Source organism: Homo sapiens, chromosome 21 (genome assembly GCF_000001405.40).
Source record: "Homo sapiens chromosome 21, GRCh38.p14 Primary Assembly".
Taxonomy (NCBI): domain Eukaryota; kingdom Metazoa; phylum Chordata; class Mammalia; order Primates; family Hominidae; genus Homo; species Homo sapiens.
In genome coordinates, this window is record NC_000021.9 from 7,377,866 (window position 1) to 7,396,381 (window position 18,516).

At 43.7% G+C, this 18,516-nt stretch overlaps 1 long non-coding RNA gene across 1 annotated transcript; it reads left to right on the forward strand.

Moving 5' to 3' along the window:
* The first annotated feature begins 6,107 nt into the window (after positions 1 to 6,107).
* LOC105379502 (uncharacterized) lies at positions 6,108 to 8,857 on the forward strand. The gene is made up of 4 exons (XR_951145.3): positions 6,108 to 6,136; positions 7,787 to 7,900; positions 8,516 to 8,672; positions 8,760 to 8,857. It is a non-coding gene; the product is annotated as an uncharacterized LOC105379502 (long non-coding RNA).
* The last annotated feature ends 9,659 nt before the right edge of the window (positions 8,858 to 18,516 follow it).

The window sequence follows — 18,516 nt, forward strand, 5'->3', positions numbered from 1 at the left end:
GATCTGTTATATATTAAAAAAAAAAAGCTCTCTCTCCCTCACATCTTTGTGTATGTTATTATCCAGCAACTAGACCTTCAACATATACCAGTATAATGTTGTTTTGGCTTCCCAGCCTCCAGAATCATGAGTCAAATAAAATTCTATTCTTTATTAATTACCAGTGTGTGATATTCTGTTATAGCAGCCAAAAGAGACTAAAGCAGACAGAGTGGATAAATTAATCTTTTAAACCTCATAATATGCTGCTTACAAGAGACTCAATTATGAATTAAGAGCATAGGCTAAAAGTGAAAGGATAGAAAATGATATTCCATGCAAATAATAACCAAAGGAGTGAAATGGTAATGCTTAAATTAGACAAAATAGACTTTCTAGCAATGTCTCTCACAAGAATGAAATGAGTTTACCATACAATAATAGAGGTTAATTTCTCAAGAGAATATAGCTTTATATATTTATGCACCCAAAAGGGAGGCTTCTAAATATAAAAAGCAAATATTGCCAGAACTGTAGGGAGAAGTAGAAAGAAACCCAATAATAGAAAACTTTAACGAAATGTATAATAAAGGACATATAGTTAACAGCATTGTAAATTGGCAAGGGAAAGCTGGTCTCATGTGTTGCGTTTGAGAATGCAGCAAAGAAAGTGGGAACTGATAATTTTACTGCAAGCCTGAGTTAGGATGAAAAACAGGGTGGTCGATTAGAGGTTCCACTTGCCATACATTAAAAAAACACAGGAGAAAACCAGTCCTCCTCTGGAGTGTTAAAATAATTAAAGATCAGAAAATTAGTCTAAAGTGGCTCTAGTGCCCTGTGTTCATAGGTAAAAAACAAAAAACAAACAAAAAAAAATCTAAAACCTAACTCAAATATATTTCCTATAAAACACTATCTTAGCCTGAAGCAAAATGCAGGTTTAACCCATGACAAACATGCAATTAACCTCTGAATATGTAACCAGGACATTTCCATCTGGATAGTTCAAATAAGGCTACCATATAACTGGAACCAATTCTTGAATTTGGGTTGCTTTCTCATGCATCTTATGAAAGCCTTTCCTTTATGCCCCTCTGGTGGACCAGAAATCATGGCTGGGTGCTTTCCATTTCACCAATCACTCTTTGTTCAGATAAACTGATGAACCTTTTAACATAGACTCCCGTTAATTTTTAACACGAGAGACTGTGGACCCCACGGGCCGCAGCTCCTCCCACGCAAACACCCACTCGCGGTTTTTCCCTGATGACCCATCTGGCCTCCCTGAACAATTTGGGAAATACTCATGGCTGTGGGCGCAGAGCAGGGCGCTGCCCAGGGACAGGACCGGATGGGCCGGACGGGACGTGGGGGTCCTCGCTGCTGGCCCAGCGGCCATCTTGCAGCCACAGGGGACTGAGGGCCAAGCTGCGGGAGACTCGGAGCTAACCGTGGGGAGGCCGGTCCTGCCGGTTTCACAGTCTGTTCTCCCCTCTCGGGATGGCGAACCCCGTATACTCACCATTTCCCAGCTTCCAGGATGTCCTGGCACCTTAACTATGCGTCCCCAAGGACCTACAGATCGCAGGGCAACAGGGGCTGTGACAGAGTAGCCCAGGGCTCTCAAGGTGCAGGAGGCGAAAGAGGAGACAGATCCCAAGCTCCTGTGCCAGCACCAGCGAGAGACACAGATCCCGCCAAATGCAGGAAGCCACGCCCTCCTTTCCTCTCCTCTGCCACCGCGCGCCTGATTGGGCGGTTCCCACATCAGTGTCAATGACTGGATAAAACTCCAGGACGCACCCACCCTCGCCTGACTCCTGCCCTTACCCCCACTCCCCCTCAGACTTAGTGCACTTTTGTTAGTTTGTTTTTAAGTTCTGGAATACATGTGCAGAACGTGCAGGTTTGTTACATAGTTTTACATGTGCCATGGTGGTTTGCTGCACCTATCAACCTGCCATCTAGGTTTTAAGCCCCATATGCATTAGGTATTTGTCCTAATTTTCTCCCTCCCCTTGACCTCAACCCCTTAACAGGCCTTAGTGTGTGATCTTTGGCTCCAGGTGTCCATGTGTTCTCATTTTTCAACTCCCACATATGAGTGAGAACATATGGTGTTTGCTTTCCTGTTCCCGTGTTAGTTTGCTGAGGTTAATGGTTCCCAGCTTCATCCACGTCCCTGCAAAGGACATGAACTCATTCTTTTTATGGCTGCATATTATTTCATGGTGTATATGTGCCACATTTTCTTTTTCCAATCTATCAATGATGGGCATTAGGGTTGGTTCCAAGTCTTTGCTATTGCAAACAGTGGTGCAATAGACATATGAGTGCATGTGTCTTTATGCTAGAATGATTTATATTCCTTTGGGTATATACCCAGTAATGAGATTGCTGGATCAAATGGTATTTCTGGTTCTAGATCCTTGAGGAATCACCACACTGTCTTCCATAATGGTTGAACTAATTTACACTCCCTCCAGCAGTGTAAAAGTGTTTCTATTCCTCCACAGCCTCACCAGCATCTGTTGTTTCCTAACTTTTTAATAACTGCCATTCAACATGGTGTGAGAAGGTATCCCATTGTGGTTTTGATTTGCATTTCTCTAGTCTCCAGTGATGATGAGCTTTTCTCTTTTTTGTGTTTGTTGACCACATAAAGGTCCCCTTCTTCTTCTTCTTCTTCTTCTTCTTCTTCTTCTTCTTCTTCTTCTTCTTCTTCTTCTTCTTCTTTTCTTCTTCTTCTTCTTCTTCTTCTTCTTCTTCTCCTTCTCCTTCTTCTTTTTCTATTTATTTTACTTATTATTATTATTTTTAAGATGGAGTCTTGCTCTGTCACCCAGGCTGGAGTGCAGTGGAAGGATCTCGGCTCACTGCAACATCTGCCACCCAGGTTCAAGTGATTCTCCTGCCTTAGCCTCCCCAGAAGCTGGGATTACAGGTCACCCGCCAACACATCCTACTAATTTTTTGTGTTTTTAGTAGAAATGCGGTGTCGCCATGCGGCCCAGGCTGGTCTTGAACACCTGACCTCATGATCCACCTGCCTCCACGGCTGAAAGTGCTGGGATTACAGACTTGATCAACCGCGCCCAGCCAAATATCTTCTTTTGAAAAGAGTCTGTTTATATTCTGTGCCCACTTTTTGATGGTTTTTTTTTGTGTGTGTGTGAATTTGTTTAAGTTCTTTGTAGATTCTGGATATTAGACCTCTGACACATGGATAGAGTGCAAAAATTTTCTTTCACTCTGTAGGTTGCCTGGTCACTCTGGTGATAGCTTCTTTTGCTGTGCAGAAGCTCGTTAGTTTAGTTAGATCTCATTTGTCAATTTTAGCTTTTGTTGTGATTGCTTTTGGTATTTTATTCATGAAGTCTTTGCTCATGCCTATGTCCTGAATGGTATTGCCTAGGTTTTCTTCTAGGGTTTTTATGGTTTGGTGTTTTACATTTAAGACTTTAATCCATCTTAAGATAATGTTTGCATAAGGTGTAAGGAAGGGGTACAATTTCTGTTTTCTGAATGTGGCTAGCCAGTTCTTTCAGCACCATTTGGTAAGTAGGAAATCTTTCCCCATTGCTTGTTTTTGTCAGGTTTGTCGGAGATCAGATGGTTGTAGATGTGTGATGTTATTTCTGAGGCCTCTGTTCTGTTCCATTTGTCTATATATCTGTTTTGGTATCAGTACTGTGCTGTTTTGGTTACTGTAGCCTTGTAGTATAGTTTGAAGTCGGGTAGCAGGATGCCTCAAGCTTTGTTGTTTTTGCTTAGGATTGTTTTGGGTTGACAGGCAAACAGGCTCCTATATTTGGGGTCACGTGCCCAGAGTATCACAGCTAATTCAGACGTGAGCTGAGACTTGAAATGCACGTGCTCTTTCCCTTACCTGGGTCTGTTGTATAATGCATCTTAGCAGCTATGTAACAGTACGAATTAGAATATTTAGACATCTTTTTAGCAACTTTTTAACCTGCATTTTTGTAACGCGGTAAAGACCTTCATCCCATCCCTGAGCCCCTCTCTCACAACACTGCACCCCACTGCTGACCACACTGTTGTGTGACCATTAGGAATCAGGGGGGCAGCGGGGGCTGGAAATAAATAAGAAAGGATTATGTTTCCCAAATTTGCTCACCTTAGAAAGTCTCCTCAACCATTCTGTGTGAGGTGATTTTTCCAAGGTAATTGTGCCCTGACTGCGCTGGATGTCAGTGTGTCTTGTCTTTTTGAAAATCACTGGATTACTCTCATGAACGGGGTATTTCTCTTTCTATTTGAAAATGGTCAACTGTCCTCTGCAGGTGTCCTGACTTGCTAGTTTAGACCCTGAAGGTAGCGGTGAGAAAATATTTGGGCCACATCAGAATACCTATTCTCAGCTGGAGGATATATAGAAATTTCTTAATAATATCTAACCATTTTCTCAATAACCATTATATTTAACATTGATAGCTTGGAGGGCAGGGAAGGACACAGATGACACAATCTTCAAAGTTTAATTTAGTTATAAGGTTTTTTTTTTGTTCTTGCTTAGTTTTGCTTAGTTTTTGGATACAAGGTCTTGCTCTGGTGCCCAGGCTGGAGGGCAGTGGCATAATGATAACTCATAATTTGGTTGTAACGGTTCTTTAAAATATATTTTTGCTGAGAGTGCTAGCTCATACCTGTAATCTAAACACTTTGGGTGGCCAAGGTGGGATGATCGCTTGATCCCAGGAGTTCAAGACGAGTCTGAGCAACATAAGTAGGCTCAGTCTCTAGAAAAATATTTAAAAATTGTCTGGGTGTAGCTTTGCATGCCTGTAGTCCCAGCTACTTGAGAGGCTGATTTGAAAGCATCACTGGAGCCTAAGAATTTGAAGATGCAGTGACCCATGATTCAGCCACTGCATTGACAGAGTGAGATATGTGTGTGTCTGTCTGTGTGTGTGTATAAAGAATTTGTATGTGAAAAAAATTCAAGCACAGGAGAAAAGTGAAAGCCCATGGTGGGGGATGTGGAGAAAGGTCACTGTGGCTCCAGCAACTCAGTGAGACTTGGTTTTCCATCTTGAAGAATTGCCCATCCACACTGACACCATAGCCTAACATATGCCAGTTCTCACACTACACCTGCTGGGATACCAGTATGTAGCCTTTTGAAAAAAATAAAATCTTTCACCTAAGAGAAGGACAAGAGAAAACGAGGGTTTCACATCTAAAGCCTTCATTTTCTTTATGAATCAACAGCCACTTGTCATTTCAATTGTCCAGAGGCGACTGACAGCACTAATACACTTAATGAATCAACCAGGAAAAATGGGCCTCTCAGGTGAGGAGGAGGCACAATCGTCACAAAACCCAATCCGTTCTCAGCTTTGCATGGTGCTCGCATCTCAAGAAGTGGTGTTAGCCATGTGAACCGTGTTCACTGGACAAGGCCAGAGGAAAGAATATGTAGTACAACACAACTATGGGGCTGCAAATCAAACTGGTAGTGAGAGCATGCATGAGGCTTCAGTGGCCGAGACACTGGTGGCTACCCTTCGGTGTCACTTAAATCTTTGAGGTGAAGGACATCTTTTTCCCAACTGGCTCAGAGAAACTAATCAACATTAAAATTGAGATTTGTTTTTCTTTTCAAAATTTCTAAGACATAGAGGACTCTCTAACACTCCAAAAGACATTCAGCTATACATGCAGCTGAGGACCTGCCTGCTCTGTAGAGGGATGGCAGAGCAGCAGCCACCAGCTTTAGTAGCTTTAAGCTCCTCTTCTCATAGGAACAGGCCACCCCCACACAACCCCCCTAACTTCATAGGCTCTGGCTGTCAGGTGCACCTGGGGGACTGTCTTCCTCCCATCTCATTAGCTCTCGAAGACAGTTCAGCTCAATGTAAAACCTACCTTAGGATGGTGAGTTGTAGGCTCTCCTCTATTCTCCCAGCGCAGTGTGACTTCTGGAGAGTGCTTCTCCATCCTCTTACCTCAGATGATGTGAAAAGAGCCGGTTCCCGGGCAGTTAGATGTTCAGTGACATAACAGGCCCAGCATGCGCAGGGCCTGGCCCCACAACCTGGCACCTCTCCCTTACCTGGCCTTCAGGCTGGACTTTTCTCTTCTGCCACAAATGTCAGGTGATGATCACCTCTGCCACACTCTCATGAGCTTGGTAAGTATCAGGGGTGTAAACCCCAACAGATTTCCTGTGACTCTACCCTCTTACCACCCACTCAAGTGACATTATAAGCATAATTTTACATTTGATATTATTTATGCGTAATTTTTTTTATAACATTTCTGACAACAGCCCACACAACGAAATGAGTCTGGGTTACAGAACACACGGGCGAGGCTGGGGTAGCAGGCTTCAATTACTTTATTCCAATGTGAAATGAAGATTGATGATTTAAAAACAAGACAAAGTTGTTTATCAGCTGTGGGGTGGCTACACTTGCTAGCTCATGCTCACTTTCTTTGAAACAAGGTATCTGTACAGACCATACTCATAAGTAGCTCTTCACAAAACCCCAGACAGAAGTCCCAGTCAGACACAGCTCCCTCAGGCTCACAGGGCAGCAACCTCCTCCTCCATGTTAGGCTCTGACAGCAGGCAAGGGAAGAAGCACAGGCAGCAGGGGACAGGGAGATGTCCCGGACTGTAGGGATCCCCAAATGCCCCAGAGCTATTATCTGTAGAAGGGTGCACGCAGGTCTCACTCTGACAGTGCAGTGGCTGAATCATGGGTCACTGCAGCCTCAAACTCTTAGCCTCCAGTGATGCTTTCACCTCAGCCTCTCAAGTAGCTGTATGGCAAAAAGCCTCCTATTTTTTTACTTAAAACCTGGACTTCAAGCCAGGTTGGACCTGGGGATAGTGGCAGCAAAAGCAGCAGCCAAATGTATACACTCCAGATGTCTACACTCATGGGCACAGGCATATTCCACTCTTGCTGGAGCACGAGAGGCCTGAGAGGCACCTGTTTCCCAGTTGCTAACTGATGCCCACACACCCCATTCACGTGTCTTCATTTAGGTCTCTGCATCGTGTATTCCCTCAGCCAGTGCAAACACATCTTCTGGGGGGCATCATTAATTGCAGCACCTGCCCCTCTTGTTCTGGGAGGGAGTCAAGAGGAATCTGGTCAGCTCCTAATCCCCCAGGACAAAGGTGCTGCCCCCTTTTCAGCACTCACATCCAGCAATGCCATCTCTGGATGGGTTTTTCAAACACAAGTAGCATGAGGTAGCAAGCATGGTGTGACAGGCTCAGGGCCATGGGCAGCCGGTTGCTGGAGAAGCAGCACAGGGCAGGCACATCTGTGGGTGGCACCATGACAAGCCAAGGCAGCCACAGCCCCTAATCCCAACAGCTCCAGCCCAGTTGGCATTCAAATCTTCCCAGATAGTATTGGGGTACGCGATGCCCATCACTCGCCCGCTCATTAGCACGGCCTTGTTGGTTACTCAGAGACTAAGGAGAGAGAGTGGGGGATGTAGATCCAGGGTGGGCACCGCCTTGCAGCCAGAGTCCACCTGACTGCAGGCCAGCAAGCAAGCCCAAGCAGCTCAGCTCTAGTCACCTCTGGCTGTACTTTATGTGTATACTTTACACAAAGGTAGCAAACAGAGGTCAACATTAGCTGTTGTGACATGAAAGTCTATGCCTCATTAAGACCTTAAAATGCTGTTGTCTTAAGCTCTCTTTATTCCACTAAAATTTATACAAATAAACACATGCAAGCTGAAACTACTATAAAGGAAATATTAGGATTTTTTAAACCCATAAACAGACATGAAAACAGTCACTGTTTGATTGCAGAGAAAGTGAGCTTCTAAAGCAGCTGACCACAAAACAGCCTCACCAAACCCCAGGCAGGCCAGGCAGTCTGAACACTACAAGGCCACGTGATGGTCACAGAGGATGACAGCTCCCGTGAGTATTGCAAGGCACTGTGTTAGCTTCTCACTCACAGTCTCAGAATACCCTGTGAGGGGAGGCCCCGTCTCACTAGAGCACAGGAGGTTCCTGAGCTCTTCCCAGAAAATGGTCATCAAACGATGGAGCAGAGGGAAGCCCAGACAGAACAAGTGAGTCCCTAGGGTCTCCTTAACCTCCCTCAGCTCCTCCACATGGGTCCCTGAGGGAAAGTGAGCAGCCTCCTAACCCCCTTGATAGGGTTCCAGTCCTGCAGGTCGGACTCTCTCATTTTATGCTACCATAGGGGGTGACAATGCAACCCCAGGCCCCTTATTTGCCATCCCTCAATGCCAGGCCAGGCCCAGAGCCCTTTGCTAACACAGCCCAGGGGATGCTCAAGGCCCACCTCGGCACAGTCACCTGTAGTGTACTGAGATGAGCAAGGAGGTGCAAGTAGACACAAATCCCCATGGGCTTGGCCTCAGCCATGTTCCACAGGCTCAGGGCCTCGCAGATGAGCTCACAGCCCTCCTTCAGGAAGCCTGCAGATCACACCCTCAGGGAGCAGTGCTCAGATGAGCAGGCAGGCCCCACATCCCCCACCCCATGACGCTCTGTTCCACTTTGCAGGCTTCTGCATTGGCCAGTCCCCACTGCTTTCTGGTGAGATGTCCGAGTTGAAGTGAATGTTGAAGGCCACACAGCTGATGGAGCTCACTGCCTTGCACATGTTGTAAATCACCTCCTGGCTTCAAGGGTCAGCTGTGGAGACACAGCTTGATGGGAGGTAGGCCCACTCCACCATCAGTGGTGCTGGGTTGCCCTGATCTGCACCTTCCAGATACTTGCTAAGATATCTGCATGCTTCTCTAAGGGACTGGGTCACGAGACACCCCTGGCAAGGACCAGCTGGCAGAACAGGCTGGACACTCTCCCTCAGCCTCCCCAGCAGCCCCACCTGTGCTGTCATCTGTGCTGATGATCTCCGTGGTAAGATTATGGGAAACTTTTACAGCAAGTTTTCCTTTCTCACTTCCCTATCTTAATAACAGCACTGATAACTTTTAAGCCCTAGCAAGCTGAAACTGCAAGACACATGATCTTCTGCCTTAGAAGGGCCATGTTTGGGCAGTGGGTGCCCAGGTGAGAGCCCCATGGTTGTTAGTGGCAGCCGGGAGCTGGATGGGCCTGCCCCATAGCCTAGTGAAAAGTGGGACCCTCTCCTTCCAGAGCATGGAAGTCTCAGAGGCTGGAAAAAGGTGCCTAAGTGGCCTGCCAAAAAGCATAAGGCTAGAAGGCCTGGAAAGAGCCCCAACAGCCTTCAAGCTGCCTGAGAGGGCTGGGCTCATTCCAGCTTTCTTTGCTTTCATCCTGTTAGCAAGAAAACCTGCTCACAGATGGCAGGCGGGCCTGAGGCTGCCATTCCCTCATCAGGGGCTATAGGCACCTTTAATGTGGCTCTTTCTTGAAGCAGCTGCTCAGGCCGGTTCTCGAAGAGCAGTTCCCTCATTATCCACAGGTCCTTCTTCCAGCCCCGTGTCTGCAGAGGGACTAGGGAGGGAGACAAGGGCTCAGCCTGTGCCCCACAACCTGCTTTGAGACATCTCTTTTGTTACTTCCTCACAGACAGCCTGAAACTTCCAAATGAACAGACCAGAATGGAGCCTCCAGGAAAGTGTACAGAATTCTGTCTAGTACCCAGAAGGAAGGGGGTTCCCAGTGAAGGCAGGGCCAGGCTGCATGCACCTCTTCAAAAATGTTCTCCTCATAGTCCACGCTCAAGGTGTACATCCTCTGTGTGCTTGCAGTCCATGGCAGCCTCTGCCTTGGGAACAGTCCAGCTGCACACCTGCAATATGGTGGTGACCCTCTTGAATGGATGGTTCTGGGCCCCATTGCAGACAGCAGATAGGGAGATGCTCAGCCCATCAAGCCCAGAGCCCTGCCACAGGCTTCTGTGAGGCCTCCACCTGCTCTGGGTTCTTGCCCTGAGAGGCTGCCCTGAAGTCAAACAGAAGCAGGTGGGACTCTCTTCCACAGCTGCTCTCTCTCCCACTGACAGCTCCCTAGAGGGTAACTCAGACAGAGAAGATAGAATTCTCAGGCAGAAGGACAGGAGTTTCGGCTGCCGATTCATTCCATACCCCCACATGACATGACACAAGGCAGGGGCTGTGGGACAAAGGCATTGCCTTTCCTTCTGGCAAGAGGAATGCCTTAGGAAGCAGGTCTGGTGGGGCTAGGGTTGAGCGATAGGCTTCAGGCCACAAGGAGTGGATGGACACTGAGCAAGTATCCTGGTTATCTGTCCACAGATCCAGAACAAGTGGCATCCCAGGAGCCTGGGAGGGGCTGGCAGAGACTTACTGTGTCCAGCAAAAGCCCCATGTGGATGCGGTAATGCTGCCTGCTGGTCCTTGTCTGTAATTACAAACAGGTACATGAGGTCCCCATGGATCTTGCAGCTCTCAGGGAGTGGGTTCCAGCTGCTCATGTTAGGCACTTTTAGTCACTGAACGTGCTTCAGGAATGGCCAAGTTTGATTAAGCCAGGCGTCTTGCTGTGAGACCCTCCACCCAACTGAGGACCCTCTTCCTTGTCCCCCCTGACAGTTTACCTTCCAGTTCTGGTTCTGGAGACACGATGGCCCTTCTTGGGCCCCTGGGAGAATGTGCTCAGATGACACACAGTCGACAGGGCCCATTTCCAAGCCATTCTTCCATTTCCCACTGTTTGAGGGGCCGAGGCCGGTGATCAGCACAGGGCCACCCAGGGCCAGCTGTCTGCACCTAAACGTCATGTTGGTCTGGATGTCTCAGGGCCAGAACTCTCCAGGTAAGATGGCCTGGTCCTCAGCACCTGGCCTCCATGCTCCTTTTTCCTCTGTTCAATCCTGGCCCCAATGCCTCCCGCAACTCTCAGGTCACCATTGGAGAAGATGCTCAGGAAGAACAAGGAGCTGCAGTCAACCCTGCTGAAGGTGGCATATGGGTCCAGGCTCTTGAGCTGGTCTTCGACATGGTACATGTGGATGCAGGCTTTGAGCAGTGTGAGTAGCTCTTTCCGGAAGGAGGGGAAAACGGTGTTACCAGGGTCCTACACCCTAGAACGACCCATCTAGCACAGAAAACAGTTTGCAACGTGCTATTATGTGTGATTTTAATTTTGGGCTTTAGGCTTTCATTTCCAAATTCCACAATAAACACATAAGGTGGGGTTCTGATTTCAACACACACACACACACACACACACACACACACACACACACACACATTCTCTCTCTCTTCCTCTCTCTTAGAATCTTCCAGTGAATTCACACTGAAAGCCGAAGTCCTCCCAGAATCTTGTGAGAACCTAAATGATCTGAATAGTTTGTCATTGCTTTTAGGGATCTGGGAAAATCTCTGCACATTTCTGGAGACCGCTGTTATGCCATTTTTAATAAATCTGTTGTGCTTCAATTCAGAAGTGTGTGAGGGGAGTTGTGGAGGAATTGGCATTTGGGTTAGAAATTCCAGGAACAACAGAGACAGATGACACCTGTTTTCTGCTTCATAATGTCAAGTTTTATGAAGGCTAAAACCTAATTCTACAAAAAAAATTAGACTGAAAAACTTTATAGGCAAAAATTATCTTATTAAATAGGAAAATCTAATTATTTTATTTTAAAATTTTCTTTTCCTTAGTAGGACCTAATCATAGAAATTTAAACACTGTATGCCAACAGCCTCTACTGTAGGATGGTTTATTGTAAGTACTCATTTTACAGATTTCTTACAAAAACTTTTTCCGTAAGAGAAATTAGAATATTGTTCAACATATATTGAATTCACAATTATTACCTTATTTCTCACTTATTATTTTATGATTCTGTTTTCTTTAATATGAAGATTACTATGACTGTGTTTTCACTTTCTGAATTATCATGTGTCACATTTTTCTGTAATTTCAGTTTGAGAAGTTGTAAAACAGCATGCTCAAATGTATATGTTATGTATCAATTATATAATTAATTATTAAAATATTTGGCTTGTATGTTTAATTGACTCTAGGCACAATATTACTATTAGCATTTTCTTCCAGTTTTCCCAACTTTTATTTGACTAATAGTACAATTTATTTCCAGTTTTTATTTTATCTGTCAATGTTTTATACTGTATTTACAATATTTATATTGTTACCATATGTAAAAATGTAAGACCTTTCTATTAAAGGCTAGATTACAGCCTTACCCTTTTGTGTAAGGAAAGAAGCAATGCATCAGTAGCATAATTTAAAACTTTCTCTAGTATTACTTAAATTTTTATTCCTTAAAACTTTCTCATCACATCTCTTTTTAATAATTATAATATGGTTTCTTTGAAATGTTGTTGCCCTAATTGTATCCAAGTAATTCAAAATTTATACTTTTTATGGATTCAAAGGAAGAGTTGAAAATTGTAGTTACCTAGGATTCTTTTTCAGTTGGACACTATGTTTATTCAGGATTTTATAGATCAAAGTTTCTCTTAATTATGTTTTAGAATTTATGTTTCTGTATTTTTTAGAGTAGGCTGTCTCACAGCAGTTAATTGTGTTTTTACTTTCTACCTATTTATTATGATTTTGAATTACATTATTCAAGTAAGAATTCGGGGAAGGTTTCTTTTAAGTTTGTTTTGCAATTTTGCATTTCTGTGTTTCATGTTTTAGGGTAGGGCACCTTACATCAGTTTATTGTTTTTAGTTTGAATTTATATAATATAATTTTCTATGACAATATTCAAATCTGTACAGCTTAAGACAGTGTGAGGCAAAAAATATGAAGCATCCCTATGGTCTTTTGTTAATATAATGATTTAATTGTTTGTTTGCTTGTATAAATATTGCCCCTATTTTGTTTATGACTTGTGTATTTTCTTCTTGTTTGATGGACAATAATTGATTCTGTCTAAGTGAGTAATCATGGAAATTGTCTTAATTTCAACATCTATTGTTTATATTATCCTAGTGTGAAAGAAAGACTTATGCGATTTGAAGATAATTTTTCAAAAACTTTGTAACTCTCTCTCTTCAGGTGTCTTTACTTATTTATTTTTTGACAGACTCTCACCCTGTCGCCAAAGTGCAGTGGCACAATCTTGGCTCACTGCAACCTCCACCTCCCAGGTTAAAGCAATTCTCCAGCTGCTGCCTCTTGAGTAGCTGGCATTAAAAGTGTGCACTACCACGCCTGGTTAATTTTTGTGTTTTTCATAGAGCTGGGGTTTCACCATGTTGGCCAGGCTGGTCTTGAACTCATGGCCTCAAGTAATCTGCATGCCTCAGCCTCCCAGAGTGCTGAGATTACAGGCATGAGCCATCTCTCTTGGCCCTTGGGTGTCATTTTTAATTTCGATTGTGGTAAAAATACATAACATAAAATTTAGAATCTTTAATATTTTTTCTTATACAGTTCAGTCATGTTAATGTATTTACATTGCTTTGCAACATATTTGTAAAACTTTTTTCTTTTGCAAAACTGAAACTCAGGACACATGAAATGACAACTACCCATTTTCCTTACAACCTGGCTCCTGATAAAAATCATTCTATTTTCTGTTTCTAAGTTTCAATACTTTAGATATTACATATAAGTAGAATCATAGAGTATCTGTTTTATTGTGACTAATTTTACTTAGCATCATGTTCTCAAGATTTCTCTTTATTGTGGATGGTACAAGATTTTCTGCCTTTAAAAGCTGAGTAATATTCCATTACTTTTGTATTACAAATTATATTTATTTATTCATTCTATGAGGAAAGTTTGTGTTGCTTTCACCTATTGGCCTTTGTGAATAATGCTGCAATGAATATTGGTATGCAAATAGCTATTTGCTCATATGTATGAGGTTTACATGTGTGCTACCTTCTGTTTTATTGGAAAAATTGTCTGTCTTTATGCTAGAAACAAACTGTTTTCATTGCTGTTGCTTTGTAATGTGCTTTGAAATCAGAAAATTGAGGCCGCTAACATTGTTTTTTTTTAAAACATTTTTGGGCTCTTTATGGTCGCTTGACATTCCATATAATTTGTTGGTTCCTTTTTCTATTTCAAAAACATTGCTAATTTAAAAGGGATTGCATTGAATCTGTAACTCGCTTTAGGCATCATGAGCATTCTTCATAATATCAAGTCTTACAACCCTTAAACATGAGCATGCTCAAAAGTGAGTTGTTTAATTTCCATATATATGTTGCTATTTTTGTTTTCTTCTGTTATTCATTTCTAGTTTTATTCCATTTTGATCAGAAATAATAGTCACTGAAAGGCTAAACCACTCTGGGAAGTGACCCCCATTATAGAACATTACAAAGAGATGTGAGGGCACCACTTCTGCCCTGATGGGCTAGAGGGATGTGTTCTCTGAGATGACACGTTGCAGACAAATGCAGGGAACAATATAACCCCCTTTTCATGTAAACTCTTCCTTATTTTTCTAGAGTATTAGTGATAGTGGTGGCTTTGAAGTCTTGGGGAAGGTCTGGCAGTGCCGTGAACCTGCCTGCTACAGGTGATACCAGGGGGGAAAAATTAAAACCATACAAACTGTAGAAACATGAATAAATACAGCCTAGTGTAAAGTAAAAACAACACAAAGGCCTTCTCTGATATTTCTACAAGAATGTAAAAAGGGACTTTACACTTAACCAAGCTGCCTTTGGGACTAGTTAAGGCTAGATTTTTGGGAGGCACATCTTTGGGTCACTCATGGAAATCCCCTAAGAGAGAGCCCAGAGAAATTCCATATTTGGGTCTGGATCCTGGGCCCATCCTGGTTTTGTCAGACCCCTGTCTGTAGAGACCCCCATGTGCCTGCTCTCACCGTAACTCACTGTATGCCATGCTTGGGGGTGTGGTGAACCTGCCAGTTGTCCAAGGAGATGGGGGACTTGAACCCATCAAATATCTGCTCAATGATTTTAATGAAACTCTACAGAGAGTGTTCCCAGCAGTGAAGCAGGAAAAAAAAAAAAAGAAAAAAGAAAAAAAATTAATTATCTCCTTTGTTTTTACCACCAGGTGACATCTCCATTAGAAATTCTGTTTCCTAGATCAGGAACATAGGAGTATCTGCATAGACCCCCAGCCAATGAGGAAACCCGAGGACAGCTTAAGGCCTTGGGATTCACATCTGAGTAGACACACTTGGTCCACAATGCTCAACTTTTTATTCCACCAGCCATGACCTGGGTATGAACATGACATAGCCGCCAGGGTTCCAATGCCTTACAGCCTGCCCCTGTGAGAAAGAGCCCCCTCCTTTCCTGCTCCCCCTGCAACACATGGTAATGGTAGACAGGGTCGGGTTGCCCAGATTAGATGACACGGGTGGCCTGGCATGGACGGACCTGACCTGGGCTTCACTGTGTTACCTCTGTTTGCCTCTTGTTGAATGGCCAGTGGTATCAAGGATGTGGGCTGAGCCAATATGTATATGGTCAGAAAAGTCTCTCACTTTGAACCTTTCTCAGGCAACAGCTTAGGAATATAGCACACAATGAGAACACAGTACTCTCTCAAGCATCTCCCATGAAATTAGCTAGATAGAGGGCTCTCTCTAGAATGTGGGTTTCTGTTTCCCAAAGTTCTAAATTCTGTTAGGTTCTGTCACAAGGGAAGTCTGTTAACTTCTTCAAGGTTTTATCCCCTGAGCCCTTTTCCTCCATAAATCTATGCAAAGTCCCTACTGGGCTGCTGATTGCTCACCCTCATCTCCCATGTCAACTCTTTTCCTGTAAACAGTTATGCAAACACAATTATGCCTCTTACTCCCCAAAAAGATCTAAATACAGCCAGGGCCCCAGGTTTGAGAGAACAGAGTTGGATTAAAATCTTCTTTTCCTTTTCATTTCTGTGACCATATGAAAATGACTGTGTGCTTCAGTTCTCCCCAGCCCTGAAGTATGCATAATGGGATTAGGCTAGCATCAACTTCCAGAAAGAGTCATTGGCGATATATGAGATAGAATGAATCAAAATCAGTTGGATGTAGTTGCTCTTGCCTGTAATCTTAGCAGATTGGTAGACCAAGATGGGTGGAACACTTAAGGCCAGGGGTTTGAAACCAGCCATGGCCAGCATGGCAAAAACCCTTCTCCACTAAAAATGCAAAAATTAGCCAGATGTGTTGATGCTTGCCTGTAATCCCAGCCACTCAGGAGGCTGAGGTGTAAGAATCACCTGAGCCAAGGAAGCAGAGATTACATTGAGCCTTGATCATGCCTCTGCACTCCAGCCTGGGTGACATAGCGAGACTGTGTCTCAAAAAAATATATATACTATGTATATATAATTTATATTTATATATTATATATAATATATAAACTTATACATATACACCTTTATGTATAAAAGATATATATTTCATATATCTGTATACATAAAAGATATATATTTTATATATATGGCCTTATTTTTCCATTCTACAGCAGAAGAGGTTGAAATCAAAAGAAAATCAGATACTGTATTCTGGCATTAAATATTCCAGTGCTGTGCATTATATTTGGAATCACATGTATATGCTTCATCTCAGCCTATGTGGTGGGCACCCCCAACAAAGTCTCACAACAACACTAAGTTGTGAGTGACTCTGTTATTTAAAAACGCAGCTCACCGCTCAGTGCCTCAGAAGCCGGTACTATAACACCGGGTTTCCAACAAAGACATTGGATTCCAGCTGAAGCCTCTTTCCCTGTGCTTACTTAAAGGTAGTAATATTCTCAGAAAGGTTTAAGAGGTGGCTTCTTGTTTAGCAGGGAATTGCTGAAAGGAAAAATGTATGGAAAGTCACTGGGCATGAACAGCCATCTTTTCCTGCTACACACAGGTCATGTGCAAATTTGGGGACAGTTAGTACAAAACATGTGATGGAAATTTGGGCTCTTACATCAGTGAGCTTATTTCACACAGACTCCAGTTGACCATATTGGTTCCAACCAATTTTAGCCACTTTTTAGAAGTCTCATAAGTGGAATAAATTTCATTCTTTCAACAAGTTCTATCTTTTCTTATCTGTCATTCTGCAAACTGAAGAATTTCTGCTAGTCGTTGGTTGAACTCTTTGGGGACCTGGTTCTAGTTTCTGTCAAAGAGAATACAACAAATGTGATAGGTTATCACTTCTGACTTAGTTCAGGCTTCTATACCAAAAAACATAGACTAGGCAACTTATAAACAAAAGACTTTAGTTCTGGAGGCTAGAAATTTGAGATTGGCTTCCAGCATGGTTGTGGTCTGGTAAGGACTCTCTTCTGAGTTTCGAACTCCAGACTTCAGGTTGTATTCTCATTTAGCAGAGAGAAGGACAGACAGCCTTCTGCGGTTTCTTTTACAAAGCCAGTAATCTCTACCACGAGGGCCTCATGCTTAGGACTTAATTACCTCTGACCTGCTAAGGCCATTAAACTGGGGATTAATGTTCTGGAATGTGAATATGGTGGGGAATCACATAGTCTACTGCAACTTCCAAAGTTATATTTCCAAAACAGCTATTATTTTCCTCCCACTTGCTCTGTCCTGTGTTTCGTCTCTCAATCTCTCTGTCTCCCTTTCTCTTTTTCTGTGCATATGTCTGTCTATCTCTTTCATTTTCCATCTCTCTATTGTATTCTTCAAGATGAGGAAGCGATCTCCAGTGTCCTAAGATGCTCTAGGCACAGACCCACATGATAGAGAACTGAGGAACTGCCCAGGCCAATCAACAGGAAGAAACTGGTGTTCTCAGTTCACACTGAATCCTGCCAATTTCCATGAGGCAGATTGGAGGCTGATCTCTCCCCAAATCCAGCTTCAGTTGAAATCACAGCCCCAGCCTCATAGGGGACCTTGAGGCAGAGGCACCCAACTAAGCTATATCGAGATTCTGATTCACAAAAATTGTGAGATAGTATTTGTTGTCAAAATGTGCTAAAATTCAGGGCAATGTTGTCAGAGAGCGGCAAATGACTAATCTCCTCTTTCAGGCCCCAGGATACACCCTCCCCTCTTTTCCTTTCTTTCTCAGGCTGCCTACAGCCACACTTGTCCCTTTATAACCTCCTCTGCTAAACTGACTTGTGCCTCTGAGTCTTTTCACAAAGAGTGGCTTTTCCCTGACACACTTTCCACACCTGCGCAGTTGTCATTCTCGTCACAACATAATGTCACCTCAGGGAGGCATTCATGTCTCCTCCAGGCAACCTCTCCCCAGCCCTCCCTCCCAACATTCTACTTTATTTCCATTATAAAATGCTCTTTTCTTTCGCATGTACTTGCTTTAGTGTTTTTGTCCTGCCGTCCTCAGACTGTAGGCTCCCCGCGGGGATGCAGGGATAACATAATCGTTTTTGGTACCACATGGTGAACCTACCAAGGTAGCTGCCACAGGGTGAGTGCTAGGGGAAGAGTCGCTGAGTAAAATAACATGGAAAATCACAAAGTCCTTCCTGCTTTCGGTCACCCAATAATGTGGAGATCAAGAATGATAACAGGAGCTGCAGGCCCTCAGCCTGTCTCTCCCACGGCTCCAGCTACTCCAGTCAAGTCCAGCGGGCACAAGAAACACGGGGTCTGCAGCCACCTAGAGACCTCCGCTAGCACTGTAGTCCCAGGCAGAAGCATCACAAAACAG